General features: G+C 44.6%; 1 protein-coding gene, 1 long non-coding RNA gene and 1 pseudogene across 9 annotated transcripts in view, besides 5 other annotated features; all 3 read left to right on the forward strand.

The window, feature by feature from the left end:
* Positions 519 to 1,477: an enhancer, noted in NCBI's record as "H3K27ac hESC enhancer chr9:34178090-34179048 (GRCh37/hg19 assembly coordinates)". NCBI's record gives its function as "activates a minimal SCP1, AML or CMV promoter by ChIP-STARR-seq in naive H9 embryonic stem cells {active_cell/tissue: H9 hESC(naive)}" and the evidence as "EXISTENCE:reporter gene assay evidence [ECO:0000049][PMID:30033119]".
* Positions 519 to 2,434: a biological region, named in NCBI's record as "hESC enhancers GRCh37_chr9:34178090-34179048 and GRCh37_chr9:34179049-34180005".
* Positions 1,283 to 1,712: an enhancer, noted in NCBI's record as "active region_28305". NCBI's record gives its function as "activates an Ori minimal core promoter by ATAC-STARR-seq in GM12878 lymphoblastoid cells {active_cell/tissue: GM12878}" and the evidence as "EXISTENCE:reporter gene assay evidence [ECO:0000049][PMID:35858748]".
* Positions 1,432 to 16,030, forward strand: part of UBAP1 (ubiquitin associated protein 1) — a 73,519-nt gene continuing 58,920 nt past the window's right edge. For 4 of the 8 annotated variants that reach the window (NR_033243.3, NM_001171204.3, NM_001171203.3 and 1 more), the window contains exon 1: positions 1,470 to 1,667. Coding sequence is in view for 3 of the 8 variants with exons in the window: in NM_001171202.1 (NP_001164673.1) it covers positions 1,442 to 1,667 (226 nt within the window). In the remaining 5 variants the exon portion in view is untranslated. Of the gene's footprint in view, positions 1,668 to 1,875; positions 2,030 to 16,030 lie in introns of those variants that run through there. The other 4 variants (NM_001171202.1, NM_001171201.1, XM_011517898.2 and 1 more) reach the window with 3 other exon arrangements.
* Positions 1,478 to 2,434: an enhancer, noted in NCBI's record as "H3K27ac-H3K4me1 hESC enhancer chr9:34179049-34180005 (GRCh37/hg19 assembly coordinates)". NCBI's record gives its function as "activates a minimal SCP1, AML or CMV promoter by ChIP-STARR-seq in naive and primed H9 embryonic stem cells {active_cell/tissue: H9 hESC(naive and primed)}" and the evidence as "EXISTENCE:reporter gene assay evidence [ECO:0000049][PMID:30033119]".
* Positions 2,435 to 3,392: an enhancer, noted in NCBI's record as "H3K27ac-H3K4me1 hESC enhancer chr9:34180006-34180963 (GRCh37/hg19 assembly coordinates)". NCBI's record gives its function as "activates a minimal SCP1, AML or CMV promoter by ChIP-STARR-seq in primed H9 embryonic stem cells {active_cell/tissue: H9 hESC(primed)}" and the evidence as "EXISTENCE:reporter gene assay evidence [ECO:0000049][PMID:30033119]".
* LOC114224 (uncharacterized) lies at positions 8,702 to 10,559 on the forward strand. Its single transcript, XR_158845.6, has one exon. It is a non-coding gene; the product is annotated as an uncharacterized LOC114224 (long non-coding RNA).
* Positions 13,920 to 14,336, forward strand: RPL35AP2 (ribosomal protein L35a pseudogene 2; annotated as a pseudogene).

The following is a 16,030-nucleotide window of genomic DNA, read 5'->3' on the forward strand; positions in this document are numbered from 1 at the left end:
TTCTCCACGTTGCCCAGGCTGGTCTCAAACTCCTGAGCTCAAGAGATCTGACCATCTTGGCCTCCCAAAGTGCTGGGATTACAGGCGTTAGCCATCGTGCCTAGTCATTTTATTTTATTTTATTTTATTGCGACAAGATCTTGCTCTGTCACCCATGTTTGGAGTACACCAGCACAATCCTGGCTCACTGTAGCCTCGACCTCTCAGGCTCAAGTGATCCTCCTATCTCAGCCTCCTGAATAGTTAGGACCACAGGCACATGCCACCACGCCCAGATAATTTGAGTTTTTGTAGAGACAAGGTCTCACTATGTTGCCCAGGCTCACCTAATTTTTACCAAACTTTTTGTAGAGACGGGGGTCTCATGTTGCTTAAATTGGTCTTGAACTCCTGGGCTCAAGAGTCATCTTATTCAATTAATAATTCTCTGTCTCCTAATTCCAGCAGACATAGAAAGACACAGAAGGCCAGCGCCATGGCTCACGCCTACAATCCCAGCAATTTGGGAGACTGAGGCTTGAGCCCAGAAGTTTACCACCAGCCTGGGCAACATGGTGAGACCCCGTCTCTCCATATATATATATAAAATAATAAAAATTATCCGGGCGTGTTGGCATGTGGCTATAGTCCAAGCTACTCAGAAGGCTGAGGTGGGAGGATCACTTGAGCCCGACAGGTGGAGGTTGCAGGGTTGCAGTGCGCCAACATCGCGCCACTGCACTCCAGCCTAGGCGACAGAGCGAGACCCTGTCTCAAAAAAACAAAAAACACCCCAAACAGAAACAACAACAACAACAAAAACCCCCACAGAAGGCAGTGAAGGCTTGGGATAGGATTACCTGGTTTAAACCCATAGAATGTCAGAATTGAAGGAAGACTTAGAGGTCACCTTTGTTTTTTTTTCTTTTGATACAGAGTCGCGTTCCGTTGCCCACCTGGAGTGCAGTGGCGCGATCACGGCTACCGCAGCCTCGACCTCCCGGGCTCAAGCGACCCTCCTGCCTCGGCCTCTCAAAGTGCTGGAGTTACAGGCGTGAGCCACTGCGCCCGGCCTAGAAGTCACCTTTCAACTTAGTCCTCTATACATGGGAAAAGTGAGGTCCAGAAAGGGTATGAGTTGTACCAGGTCGCTGACCCTGAACAGAAGCTAGATGTCTTAATTCCCAAATAGGACTCGCTGCTAACTCTTTGGGCATACCTTCGCGATTCAAGGCTCTTGGGTTTCCCGCTTTGGCCGCCTCGCCAAACCCAAGTCTTACACTCTTAGTGACCCCCTCCTTTCCTCCTTCCCCCTTAGGTCAGCAGGGTTTACTCATTCCAATTGCAATGCTCCATGTTGCCGGAGTAGCTCCTCGCTAGAAGAGAGATTAGTTATGTCACCGTCGGCTCCTCCCATTGGTCCGGGCGTGTGGAGCGCGGCGCCATGACGTCAGACGCCCAAATGAGTGGGGCGGTGAGGGGAAGGAGGAGGGAAGTAGGACTTCAACATGGCGGCTGCGGCACTGGCGGTGGCTACGGTGACGGCCTGGCCCGGAGCGGGCAGAGTTGGAGGTGGTGGCGTTCGCTCTCCCTAGGGGCTGTCGGGAGCTCAGCGGGGACCGAGCCTGGGAGGCCGGCCGGTGCCAGCACCTTTCGGCTTCTGAGACGGCGGCAGCAGCGGCATTCAGGTGAGGGGGGCCTCCCTCTGGGGGAGGGGGAAGAGGGGCGGAGTTGGGGGAGGGGGGCTGGTACTGGGAGACTGGGAAACGGGATGGGGGGCCGAGCGAGGTGAAGGGCGCCGGAGCTAGGAGGTGGGAGGGAAAAGTGGCCGGAGATCCGCGATTCGGGGAGGATTCTGGGAGAAGGGTCGGAGTGAGGGGACCGGAGTTGAAGGGGCGGAGGGGAAGTGGGATGCGGAAAAATGAGTTCGGATTAAGGAGACTAATACCCTACTGGAAGACAGGCATAGTAGACATCTATCGGGCTGGACTGAGAACTCGGTGGGAACTAGAGGATGTCAGGGAGGGGGACCCAGATTTTAGTAAAGAAGGTGAGTGGTGGGGAGTTGAGGGTGAGCTGGGGACGTGCGGTGTAGATTTAGTTCTCCCTGAGGCAATGAGATTGGGGAGAAAAGGTGGAGACTAGACCAGAGGTGAGTGATCTTTGGGGATATCTTTGGCCTTGTCTGGTCTTCTCCAGGTATGTTTATCCGCCTTTTTTGTTTCTTGGGTGGAGGCTTACCTATACAGTCCACCTGGGCCTCAGGAACCGCCCCAGTCTTTCTTGTGGAACGTCAGGTTCATTTATTTGAGCTATATCAGTGATCTTTGACCTTTGTTGCCAAATGTAATTGTTTCCAGACTAGCGTCTTAAAAGTATGGTTGGGCATAAAAATACGTTTTATGTTAAACTGAAAAAAAAATTGTTACTTTTAGTCACCATGCAGTGTTGCGAAACCAGATTTGGTAATTTAGTTAAGTATTACGTATATTCTGTTCTAACTTTACTCGTTAGTGCTTTGTCTCTTCAGTTATTAGCATTTGAGAATTTGAATAGATATGATGGATGTTTTCCTTTTTAATTTTGTCAGATTTGATGGTGGGAAAAACAAGATACTTAGTCTTTAGTGATATATAGTTCTTTCTAGTTAATGTCCCAACCTAAACTAAAAGTTTCCGTATTGGCCGGGCGCTGTGGCTCACGTCTGAAATCCCAGCACTTTGGGAGGCCGAGGCGGGCGGATCACGAGGTCAAGAGTTCAAGACCAGCCTGACCAACATGTTGAAACCCTTTCTCTACTAAAAAGCCAGCCGGGCGTGGTGGCAGGCGCCTGTAATCCCAGCTACTCGGGTGGCCGAGGCAGGAGAATGGCTTGAACCTGGGAGGCGGAGGTAGCAGTGAGCCTAGATCGCTGCATTGCACTCCAGCCTGGGCAACAGAGCGAGACTCCGACTCAAAAAAAAAAAAAAAGTTTACGTATTATGGCAAAGAATGTGAAATGTGTCAAGTCTTAAAAGAATTACATTGTCCGCATTAACTTACTATAAGTGAAATTTTATTAAATTTTTGTTTCTAGTTCTATTAATTCATGGTGTTTATTAAATAGCTACTGTGTGTTGCAATAATAAGAGTCATTATAATTACAGAAATGCTAAACTTAATGTTTCTTTAGTGAGTGACCATCGCTGTCATTGCACAGCAGATAACTTTACTAACCTGCTAGAACCTCATTGGAAAAAAAACTTTTTTTTTTTTTTGTTTCTTTTTATTTTTTTCCAGAGGGAGTCTCGGTCTGTTGCCCAGGCTGGAGTGCAGTGGCGCGATCTTGGCTTGCTGCAACCTCCGCCTCCTGGGTTCAAGTGACTGTCCTGCCTCAGCCTCCCGAGTAGCTGAGATTATAGACACCCACCACTACGGCTGGCTAATTTTTGTATTTTAGTAGAGACGGGGTTTCACCATGTTGGTCAGGCTGGTCTCGAACTTCTGACCTCAAATAATCCTCCGGCCTTGGTCTCCGAAAGTGCTGGGATTACAGGCGTGAGCCACCGCACCCGGCCTGTTTTCTTTTTTTTTTTTTTTTTGAGACAGAGTTTCGCTCTGTGCCCAGGCTGGAGTGCAGTGGCGCAATCTCAGCTCACTGCAAGCTCCGCCTCCCGGGCTTGCCATTCTCCTGCCTCAGCCTCCTCAGTAGCTGCGATTACAGGCGCCTGCCACACACCTGGCTAATTTTTTAAAATATTTTTTTAGTAGAGACGGGGTTTCACCGTGTTAGCCAGGATGGTGTCCATCTGCTGACCTCGTGATCCACCCGTCTTGGCCTCCCAGAGTGCTGGGATTACAGGCGTGAGCCACCGCGCCCGGCCTTTTTTATTTTTATTTGTATTTTATTTTATTTTTTGAGACGGAGTCTCCCTCTGTCGCCCAGGCTGGAGTGCAGTGGCGCGATCTCGGCTCTCTGCAAGCTCTGCCTCCCGCGTTCACGCCATTCTCCTGCCTCAGCCTCCTGAGTAGCTGGGACTACGGGCTCCCGCCACCACGCCCGGCTAATTTTTTGTATTTTTAGTAGAGACGGGGTTTCACTGGGTTAGCCAGGATGGTCTCGATCTCCTGACCTCGTGATCCGCCCGCCTTGGCCTCCCAAAGTGCTGGGATTACAGGCGTGAGCCACCGTGCCAGGCCTTTTTTTTTTTTTTTTTAATGAAGGCAAAGGAAAAAAATTAAACTCTGTAAATATGAAAACTTCTTCAGTTTCTTTCGTTTAGTATTTAAGACTGATTTCCTAATCATGGCATTTCTTCTGTGTATTCTTCTGAAATATTTTTTCATTTTGATTTTGAAGACAGAGTATTCTGAAAAGATAATAATAGATCTGTAGACAAGTCTCATCAATGATTGTTAGTGCATTTTTTAATTAAAATTTTTTTTTTTGTAGAGAAGGGGTCTCTTATGTTGCCCAGTCTGATTTTGAACTCCTGAGCTCAAGTGATCCTCCCACCACAGCCTCCCAAACTGCTGGGAGGCATGAGCAGCTAGTGCACGTATTTTTGACTGGTGAATGTCACATTATTTGGTGTATCTTTTAACTATGGTATTTAAGGATCCCTGACGTTTATTTATTTATTTATTTATTTATTTATTTATTTATTTATTGAGACTGAGTCTCGCACTGTTGCCCAGGCTGGAGTGCTGTGGCGTGATCTCAGCTCACTGCAACCTCCATTTCCCAGGTTCAAGTGATTCTCCTGCCTCAGCCTCCCAAGTAGCTGGGATTACAGGCACCCACCACCACACCCGGCTAATTTTTATAGTTTTAGTAGCGACGGGGTTTCACAACGTTGGCCAGGCTGGTCTTGAACTCCTGACCTCAAATGACCTACCCGCCTCGGCCTCCCAAAGTGCAGGGATTACAGACGTGAGCCATGGCGCCCAGATGGATCCCTGACGTTTAATTCAGTGACTAAAATTCTTATTATTTTCAGCATTATAGTTGAAATATCATTAGCCTTGAGTGTAAATGCCAATATTACAAGCTTTTCGTGTTCTTTTTTCTTTTTCTTTCTTTCCTTCTTTCTTTCTTTCTTTCTTTCTTTCTTTCTTTCTTTCTTTCTTTCTTTCTTTCTTTCTTTCTTTCTCTCTCTCTTTCTTTTCTTTTCTTTCTCTCTCTTTCTCTCTCTCCTTTCTTTCTTTTCACTCAGTCGCCCAGGCTGGGGTACAGTGGCTCGATCTCTGCTCACTGCAAGCTCCGCCTCCTGGGTTCACGCCATTCTCCTGCCTCAGCCTCCTGAATAGCTGGGACTACAGGTGCCCACCACCACGCCTGGCTAATTTTTTGTAGTTTTAGTAGAGATGGGGTTTCACCGTGTTATCCAGGATGGTCTCGATCTCCTGGCTAATTTTTTGTAGTTTTAGTAGAGATGAGGTTTCACCGTGTTAGCCAGGATGGTCTCGATTTCCTGACCTCTTGATCCGCCCATCTCAGCCTTCCAAAGTGCTGGGATTATAGGCGTGAGCCACTGTGCCTGGCCTCTGTTCTTTAGTTATGTTATTGAATGTATTGAAATTTTTCAAATGTAGATCATTTTAAGAGTAATCTTTTTTCCTACAGATTCATTAAAAATATTTATTCATCATTTATCAGGTGGTTTTCTTTAGACAGTCTTTCTCAAGAAATGCAAAAAGGTAATACAGAGTGCCTTAAAACATTAAATAGGCCTGGCGCCATGGCTCATGCCTGTAATCCCAGCACTTTGGGGGGCCGAGGCGGGCGGATCATGAGGTCAGGAGATTGAGACCATCCTGGCTAACACGGTGAAATCCCGTCTGTACTAAAAAATACAAAAAAATTAGCCGGGCGTGGTGGTGTGTGCCTGTAGTCCCAGCTACTCGGGAGGCTGAGGCAGGAGAATGGCGTGAACCCGGCCACTCCAGAGGCGGAGCTTGCAGTGAGCTGAGATAGTGCCACTACACTCCAGCCTGGGCAACAGAGCGAGACTCCGTCTCAAAAAAAAAAAAAAAACATTAAATAAACCTTTTTTCTAACAATTAAAAAAAAAGAAAAAAACTCAAGCTGAAAAGAAGCTTAGAAATCACCTGGGTGTAGTTTCCCACACAGAATGGGAATCCCTGCTTCTATACCAAAACAAATGAAAATCCATCCTCTTTTCCAGATTTCTAAGGAAGTAATAGGATTTTTCAGAATTTCTTTTTTTTTGTTTGTTTTTTGTTTTTTTTTTTTGAAACGGAGCTTTGCTCTTGTTGCCCAGGCTGGAGTGCAATGGCGCCATCTCAGCTCACCGCAACTGCCGCCTCCCGGGTTCAAGTGATTCTCCTACCCCAGGCTCCCGAGTAGCTGGAATTACAGGCATGTGCCACCATGCCCGGCTAATTTTGTGTTTTTAGTAGAGACGGGGTTTCTCCATGTTGGTCAGGCTGGTCTCAAACTCTTCAACTCAGGTGATCCATCCGCTTCGGCCTCCCAAAGTGCTGGGATTACAGGTGTGAGATAGCGCTCCCGGCCCAGAATTTCTTATAGGAAAAGTATGTTCAATTAGAAAAAAGAAGCAAGCAGAGTAGTGCTCTTCCAACCTGTAACATACAGTGTCCTGTAACATTAGAAAATAACTTGAAGGTAACAGTAATATTTTCCTATGAATCGAGAGTTACGATTTCAGGTTTTAGAAATTTTAGGTGGAAGTAGCAAGATTCACAAAGGAAAGGGTGCTGACACTGGGTATGTACTAATGAGCCAGGATTGTTAAACACTTTCTTTCCTTTTTTTTTTAGATAGTCTCGCTCTGGGCCGGGCGCGGTGGCTCAGGTCTGTAATCCCAGCACTTTGGGAGGCCGAGGCGGGCGGATCACAAGGTCAGGAGATCGAGACCATCCTGGCTAACACGGTGAAACCCTGTCTCTACTAAAAATAGAAAAAATTAGCCGGGCCTGGTGGCGGGCACCTGTAGTCCCAGCTACTCGGGAGGCTGAGGCAGGAGAATGGCGTGAACCCGGGAGGTGGAGCTTGCAGTGAGCCAAGATCACGCCACTGCACTCCAGCCTGGGCAATAGAGCGAGACTCCGTCTGAAAAAAAAAAAAAAAGAGAGTCTCGCTCTGTTGCCAGGCTGGAGTGCAGTGGCACAATCTCGGCTCACTGTAACCTCCACCTCCCAGGTTCAAGAGATTCTCCTGCCTCAGCCTCCTGAGTAGCTGGGACTACAGATGGTGTGCCACCATGTCCGGCTAATTTTTGTATTTTTAGTAGAGACAAGGTTTCACCATGTTGGCCAGGATGGTCTTGATCTCTTGACCTCGTGATCCTCCCACCTCGGCCTCCCAAAGTGCTGGGATTACAGGCGTGCGCCACCGCGCCCAGCCAATCCTTTTTTTTTTTTTTTTTTTTTTTTTGAGATGAAGTCTCGCTCTTATTCCCCAGGCTGGAGTGCAATGGTGTGATCTCGGCTCACTGCAACCTCTACCTCCCGAGTTCAAGCGATTCTCCTGTGTCAGCCTCCCTAGTAGCTGGGATTACAGGCGCCTGCCACCACGCCTGCTAATTTTTGTATTTTTAGTAGAGATGGTGTTTCACCTTATTCACCAGGCTGGTCTCGAACTTCGGACCTCAGGTGATCTGCCTGCCTCGGCCTCCCAAAGTGCTGGGATTACAGGCATGAGCCACTGCACTCGGCCCTGTTAAAACACTTTACATAATCTCAGTTCTTGGCCAGACACAGTGGCTCATGCCTGTAGTCCCAGCAGTTTGGGAATCCCAGGCGGGCGGATTGCTTGAGCCCAGAAGTTCAAGACCAGCCTGGACAACACAGTGAGACCTGTCTCTACAGAAGTCACAGAAAAATTAGCTGGGATTGGTGGTTCATGCCTGTAGTCCCAGGTACACGAGAGGCTGAGGTAGGAGGATCACCTGAGCTCAGGAAGTCGAGGCTGCAGTGAGCTGAGATCATGCCCCTGCACTCCAGCCTGGGCAACAGAGCAAGATCCTACCTCAAAAGAAATAATCTCGGGCGGGTGCTGTGGGTCATGCCTGTAATCCTGGCACTTGGGGAGGCCCAGGCAGGTGGATCACCTGAGGTCAGGATTTCAAGACCAGTCTGGCCAACACGGTGAAACCCCGTCTCTACTAAAAAGACAAAAATTAGCTGGGCGTGGTGGCAGGTGCCTGTAATCCCAGCTACTCAGGAGGCTGAGGCAGGAGAATTGCTTGAACCTGGGAGGCGGTGGTGGCAGTAAGCCTAGATCATGCCACTGCACTCCAGCCTGGCTGACAGAACGCATCTCTGTCTCAAAAAAAGAAAAACAAACAAACAAACACATTCAGTTCTCACACTTGAATTAGGTAGGTAGGTTGTGTTATGCGTGCTTTTTATGTATTGAGGAAACAGGATCACAGAGGTTGTGTAACTTAACTAAGGTTACAACTAGGTAGACTGAATTTGAACTGAAATCTGTCCAACCTCAATGCCTATGCTGCATTCTTTTATGCCATTTTGCCCCTCTTAGGTGGTCACAGGACCATTCCAATTCCTATAAGGTATAAGCACTAGTTTTAAAGTAATACCATTGTGAACTGCTTGTTCTCATTGAAATAATAGTGTAACTGGAATGATAAATAGTTCATTAAAATTTTAGTCACATTATGTCATCAGAATTCTAGGAGGAAATGAATACCTGATTATTTTGTACTTCACAAAATAAACTGGATAAACTGGATAAATGACTGAAAGTTTCTTTTTTATATTGCTGAGTCAGATTGGATCCGGTTCATTAAGGGCCAAAATTTGTATTTGGCAGTAATCCTCATGTGTTCTCAGAATGCTTGATTGGTCATTATCAGTTGCTTAATGCTTACCAAACACTTCCAGTGTTTTGAGTCACTGAATTGGCTCATGGTAATTGTTAATCTTGTGGTTACTGAGTCAAGAGCCAGCAGTGTGTGTTTTGGCTGCTTCACTTCCTCCTCAACACTTGATATTGTCAGATTTTAAATTAATTTTTTTTTTCTAATCTGGTGGGTTTGAAATTGTATCTATAGTGTTTTTTATCAGCATTTCCTGAAGCTGGGCATCTTTTCATGTATTTTCGTTGGTCATTTGTGCTTCTGCGAAGTGTATATTCAATTTCGTTGCCTATTTTTTTGGTCTTTTCTCTTTTTCTGATTTATTTTTAAGAGTTCTTTATATATTCTGGATACTAATTATTTGTTAATTTATAGGTTGCAAATATCCTTTCCCAATTTGTGACTTGTCTTTTCATCTCTTCATAGTCTTCTGGTGAGAAAAGCTCCTAATTGTAATGAACTGAATTTTTCAGTCTTTCATGGTTTGTGTTTTGTGTTTTTTTTTATTTTTTATTTTTTATTTTTTGAGATGGAGTTTCGCTCTTGTTGCCCATGCGGGAGTGCAATGGCGTGATCTTGGCTCACTGCAGCCTCCGCCTCCTGGGTTCAAGCAATTCTCCTGTCTCAGCCTCCCGAGTAGCTGGGATTACAGGTGCCTGCCACCACGCCCAGCTAATTTCTGTATTTTTAGTAGAGACAGGGTTTCATCATATTGGTCAGGCTGGTCTTGAACTCCTGACCTCAGGTGATCCACCCGCCTGGGCCTCCCAAAGTGCTGGGATTACAGGCGTGAGCCACTGCGCCCGGCTGGTTTGTGCTTGTTGTATCAAATTTGGGAAATCCTTCTTTGCTGCCAGGCATGTTGTTTTAATAAATACAGTAGTATACCTATCTATAATGTGGTATATCTCATCTGACATTTATTTCCAATATTTGCTTGATTACAAAGGCAGACTTCTTAGAAGTTGCTTTCTTATTATCTTTGGAGTTATAGGGCCACAGGGTTTTAAAAGGAGGTTGGATTGTGCCTTACATGTGGGTTTCATACATTGTCCAAACTGAGACACCAACAGATTTGTGAATGAGATGTGCATCTTATTAAATGTTAATGTGATTTGACAATGAGACCTTTCTTTGTGTGGACAGTATTATATACAATTGATAGTGTGTCATTCAGTCTAAGCTGTTAGCACTTTCACTAAAATATATTCAAATTTTTTTTGATGTCTAGTTTTTACAGTGTTGGGCTTTATCAAGAATAGTTGTGGATTGTGGAAGAGCTGATATGGAAACAGAGGAATGTATTTTGCTTTTTTTTTTAAACTCTGTCCGGTTCCTTGGACTTGTGTGTCTCCTATCTTATCAAGAATAATTGTAGATTGTGGAAGAGTTGATATGGAAACATCTTAGAAGAATGTTTTTTGCTTTTTTTAAAAAAAAAAACAAAACTGTCCAGTTCCTTGGACTTGTGTGTCTCCTATCTACCATTAAACCCTTATGACTTAAGGTATATGTATAAATACATATATACATCTTGGTGGCATTGATTTTTCTATGTTGTGTATTAAAGCTGCTAAAAAACATTTTTTCTTTTTTTCAATGAGAAGACTAGTGATTACTTTGACTTTAGGAATTATTCTTCTAAGGAGTCAAGTATTTGATCTGGGCGAGGATCACACTGAAATATAAAACATCTGAGTAATTTGGGTTCACTAAAAAAAAAAAAAAAGAAATGTAAAACAACCACCAGATTAAAAATACACTACAAATACTGTTTACAACCACCAGATTAAAAATACAACACAAATACTGTTTATTTATACAAATAGTATACCTTTGACATTTATGAAAGGCATACTCTTAGATCATTGGGAATCCGTACTTATGTAACTACCATAGTTTATAGTGTCCTTCATGAAATACAGAAAAGTGTAACAGGAAATTTTTAGTTACCATCAGATTTGATGGGTAAATAGAAGAGAGCAACAAAGTAAAGCAATTTGAATGCTAAACTTAGTCTTCAGCTTTTTTTTTTTTTTTTTTTTTTTTAAAGAGATGGGATCTTGCCCTGGTACCCAGGTTGGTCTTAAATGCCTGGCCTCAAGTAATTCACCTGCTTCGGCCTCCCCAAGTGCTGGGATTACAGACGTGAGCCACCATGCCTGGTGCTTTCAGCTACCTTTAACTTCCTGCCTTTTTCTGTTGTTTGTTACTACCACTGGCCTATTCCAGCCTCCTTTAGTAACCTATTGGAAACTCAAGATTAGTCTGTCTTGGGCCGGGTGCGTTGGCTCACGCCTGTAATCCCAGCACTTTGGGAGGCTGAGGCGTGTGGATCACCTGAGGTCAGGAGTTCGAGACCAGCCTGGCCAACATGGTGAAACCCTGTCTCTCCTAAAAATAGAAAAATTAGCCAGGCATGGTGGTGGATTCCTGTAATCCCAGCTACTCAGGAGGCTGAGGCAGGAGAATTGCTTGAAGCCGGGAGGCAGAGGTTTCGGTGAGCCGAGATCGTACCATTGCACTCCAGCCTGGCCGACAAGAGTGAAACTCCATCTCCAAAAAATAAAAAATAAAAAAGATTAGGCTGGCTTTGCCTGTCTTTTGCTTCATCTCATCATCATGGTCTTGGTCCCAGGTGGGGTTTGCATCCTTACTGGTAAGAATGGAATCTTCCTAATCCTAAAATCTTTCTATAGTTTGGGAGTGTTAACATTTCCTTCAGTAGTTTCATGGGGAAGGATATGGGCAGTAACTTCCCCATTTCTTTCTTCTAGTAGATCATTATATCTTTTTTTTTTTTTTTTAAAGACAGAGTCTTGCTGTGTCGCCTAGCTTGGAGTGCAGTGGTGCGATCTTGACTCATTGCAACCTCCTCCTCCAGGGTTCAAGTGATTCTTTCACCTCAGCCTCCCGAGTAGCTGGGATTACAGGCACGTGCCACCATGCCTGGCTAATTTTTATATTTTTAGTAGAAATGGGGTTTCACCATGTTGGCTAGGCTGGTCGCAAACTCCTGAACTCAAATGATCCACCTGCCTCATCCTCCCAAAGTGCTGGGATTACAGGCATGAGCCACCGCACCCGGCCGATCATTATGTCTTATAGGATACCTCATGAGAGAAGTGATCTGGCTGCATGGGTGGAATTCAAGGTCAAATGGTCAGCCAAATTAAAAATCACTGCTGGAGCAGACTTTAGGGGTAGTTTGTGAACTTTCAAATTTGGAAATTATTATTATTATTATTATTTTTTGAGACGGAGTTTTGCTCTTGTTGCCCAGGCTGGAGTGCAATGGTACAATCTTGGCTTACTGCAGCCTCTGCCTCTTGGGTTCAAGCAGTTCTCCTGCCTCAGTCTCCCGAGTAGCTGGGATTACGGGCGTGCTCCACCATGCTCGATTAATTTTGTATTTTTAGTAGAGACGGTGTTTCTCCGTGTTGGTCTGGCTGGACTTGAACTCCTGACCTCAGGTGATCTACCCGCCTCAGCCTCCCAAAGTGCTGGGATTACAGGTGTGAGCCACTGCTCCTGGCCAGACATATTTAATTCTTTCATCAAAGGTTTATTATATTTCCGAGATATTCTAGCCAAAGGAAACAAACTTAACAACTTTTGTTTTCTGAAAATACTTTAGCAAAAATAGAAGGGAGAGGATCAGGAAAAATAACTAATGGATACCAGGCTTAATACCTGGGTGATGAAATAATCTGTACAACAACCCCCATGACACAAGTTTACCTATGTAACAAACCTTCACATGTACCCCTGAACTTAAAAGTTAAAAAAATTTAATGTTAATAAAATCTTAAACAAAAATCACGGAAGGTCTTTAATTGTTTATGTCGTGTCCTATCCGTTTTCTTGAAGAAGAAATATTAGCTAGTTCTTGTAATTTATTTATTTTTTGGGGTGGAGTCCCACTCTGTCACCCAGACTGGAGTGCAGTGGTGTGGTCTTGGCTCACTGCAACCTCTGCCTCCTGGGTCCAAGCGATTCTCCTGCCTCAGCCTCCTGAGTAGCTGGGATTACAGGCCCTTGCCACCATGCCTGGCTAAATTTTTTATTTTTAGTGGAGATGGGGTTTCACCATGTTGGCCAGGCTGGTCTTGAACTCCTGATCTCAGGGGATCCACCTTCCTCAGCTTCCCAAAGTGCTGGGATTACAGACTTGAGCCACCATGCCTGGCAGTTCTTGTAATTTAATAGGGAATCTTTTTTCCTTTCTTTCTTTCTTTTTTTTTTTTTTTTTGGAGACAGGGTCTCGCTCTGTTGCCCAGGCTGGAGTGCAGTGATGCAGTCACAGCTCACTGCTGCAGCCTTGACTTCCTGGGTTCAGGTGATTCTCCTACCTCAGCCTCCCGAGTAGCTGGGACTGCAGGCTCATGCCACCATGCCTGGCTCTTTTTTTTTTTTTTTTTGTATTTTTTGTAGAGATGGGGTTTCATCATGTTGCACAGGCTGGTCTCAAACTCCTAAGTTCAGGTGATCCACCTGCCTCGGCCTCCCAAAGTGTTGGAATTACAGGTGTGAGTCACAGTGCCCAGCCTGCTCTGGATATATTACTGGCATTATATTTAGTGGAAGAGCATATATATATTAGAGTAATGGAGATTTATTTCATTTAGTAGTATAAGAAATTATGTTTAGGTGCAGTTCTAATTTGAGACATTCTGTATCTGTCCTGTCTGATATGTCTCCAACATTGACAGTGGAGATATAAAACATTTTCATCAGTGTAGAAAGTTCTGCTGGACAGCACTGTTGTAGGTCAGTGATTCTCAAAGTTTTAGTGTGTGTATGGATAACTTGGATGTATTATTAAAATGTAGATTCTGAGTCAGTAGCTCTGGTGTGGGCTTGAGAGTTTGTATTTATTTATTTATAGAGATGGGGTCTTGCTATGTTCCCTGGTCTGAAACTTCTGGCCTCAAGCAGTCTTCCCACCTTGGCCTCCTAAAGCACCAGGATTGTGGGTGTGATCCACTGTGCCTGGCCTGTGTAAACTTTAAAATAGTGTCTTTAGCCATGAGGGATGATATTGTAATGGCAGAACTCTGGACAGTGAGTTGAAAGATCGAAAGTTGTAGTTCACTTTTTCCACCATCTTGAAGCTTTTAGAGGCCTGCTGGGAATAGGACTTCTAAAAGGCAAATATGTCTGGAAGGCTGTGGTCCAAGGCCATTTTTTGTTGGCTGTAAGTGTGGTCTCCAGAATCAAAGAGAGCACACAACTGTTTTTAAATCGAAGGTGTTTATGCCTGAGATGAAGCTGAATTCTGTTTGGGCAAGAGATTTGTGCTTATGTATACAAAGCAAAGAACAACACAGTGACTCCTGGTGGCAAACCAAACAAAACCAGAGTAATCTGTGGAAAGATAATTTGCGCCCATGGAAACAGACATGCCAAATTCCAAAGGAATCTTCCTGCTGAGGCCGTTTGGACACAGAATTCACGTGATGTTGTACCCCTCAAGGATTTAAACTACTAAAAAGTAAAAGTGGATTTGTGAACAAAAAAAGTCCTAGTTCAGCTTTCCTGTTTAAAAACCAACCTCTCTCAGCCTTGGATTTTTTTTTTTAATTTTTTAAATTTAAAAAAAATTTTTTTAATTAAATTTTTTTTTTTAGTGATGGGGTTTTGCTGTGTTGCCCAGGTTAGTCTCTAATTCCTGACCTCAAGTGATCGTCCCTCCATGGCCTCCTAAAGTACTGGGATTACAGGCATGAGCCACGGTCCCCGGCCTGTATAAACTTTTTAAATAGTGTCTTTTGCTATGAGAGCTTGTATTGTAATGGCAGAACTGTGGACAGTGAGTTGAAAGATCTAAAGTTCAGGCCAGGCGCGGTGGCTCATGCCTGTAATCCCAGCACTTTGGGAGGCTGAGGTGGGTGGATCATGAGGTCAGGAATGTGAGACCAGCCTGACCAACATGGTGAAACCCCGTCTCTACTGAAAATACAAAAATTAGCCGGGTATGGTGGCGCACGCCTGTGATCCCAGCTACTCAGGAGGCTGAGACAGGAGAATCACTTGAACCCGGGAGGTGGAGGTTGCAGTGAGCCGAGGTCACGCCACTGCACTCTAGCCTGGGTGGATAGAATGAGACTCCATCTCAAAAAAAAAAAAAAAAAAAAAAGATCTACACTTCTAGTTCATCTTTCCAGTTTTAAAACCAATCTCTCTCAGCCTTGAACTCTTTTTTTATTTTTCAATTTTCTTTAGGGATGGGGGTCTTGCTATGTTGCCCAGTTTGGTCTCAAACTCCTGGCCTCGAGCATACCTCCCACCTTGGCTTCCCAAAGTGCTGGGATTATAGGCATGAGCCACCAAGCCTGGCTAATGTATTTTTTTAAAATCACAAGTTCATAATGATATTTATTATTTGTTTAACTTTTAGCCCCTGCAAAGAAATATAATTTAGATTTTAGAATTATAGGACTTTAAATATTTTGCCTTTCCTCTTTTATATAAAAATATTAGTTCTTTACAACTATAATTACTTATTTTTCTATATTGGACTCATATAAAAAGGGTTTTAAAATAGTAATACTGCTATTATAGCTGATAAGTACAATCTAAAATCTTTGCTATTCTTTATGTTCTTAAAATACTGTGTAAGGGAGGGCCAGGCGCAGTGGCCCACGTCTGTAATTCCCAGAACTTTGGGAGGCGAGGCAGGCAGATCACTTGAGGTCAGGAGTTTGAGAACAGCTTGGCCAATGTGGCAAAACCCCATCTCTCTACTAAAAATACAAAAAATTAGCCAGGCGTGGTGGTATGCACCTAGAATCCCAGTTACTCAGGGGGGCTGAGGCAGGAGGATCGCTTGAACCCAGGAGGTGGAGGTTGCAGTGAGCTGAGATCACGCCACTGCGCTCCCGCCTGGGTGACAGAGTGAGACTCTGTCTCAAAAAAATAAAAATAATAAAAATATTGTGTAGGGGAAGCTCTCAAACCACGTTCTTCCTCTACTCTCACACCACCACAACAATCATCAACACAGAACACATCTGTGACCAAAAGTGTGGGGGTTTTTCACCTCTGCACCAAGCAGTGGACACCAGCTCGGTGTTCTCCAATTCAGGTTGGGGGCTCAGTCTTCAAGACTGCCTGCACACCCCTGGACACCAGTTGCATGTCTGGGGCCCTGGATCTTATGACCCACTGTCTTCATGTTGGTGTTCCCACGATCCCCTCTTTGG

This window comes from Homo sapiens, chromosome 9 (genome assembly GCF_000001405.40).
Source record: "Homo sapiens chromosome 9, GRCh38.p14 Primary Assembly".
NCBI classification, from domain to species: Eukaryota; Metazoa; Chordata; class Mammalia; order Primates; family Hominidae; genus Homo; species Homo sapiens.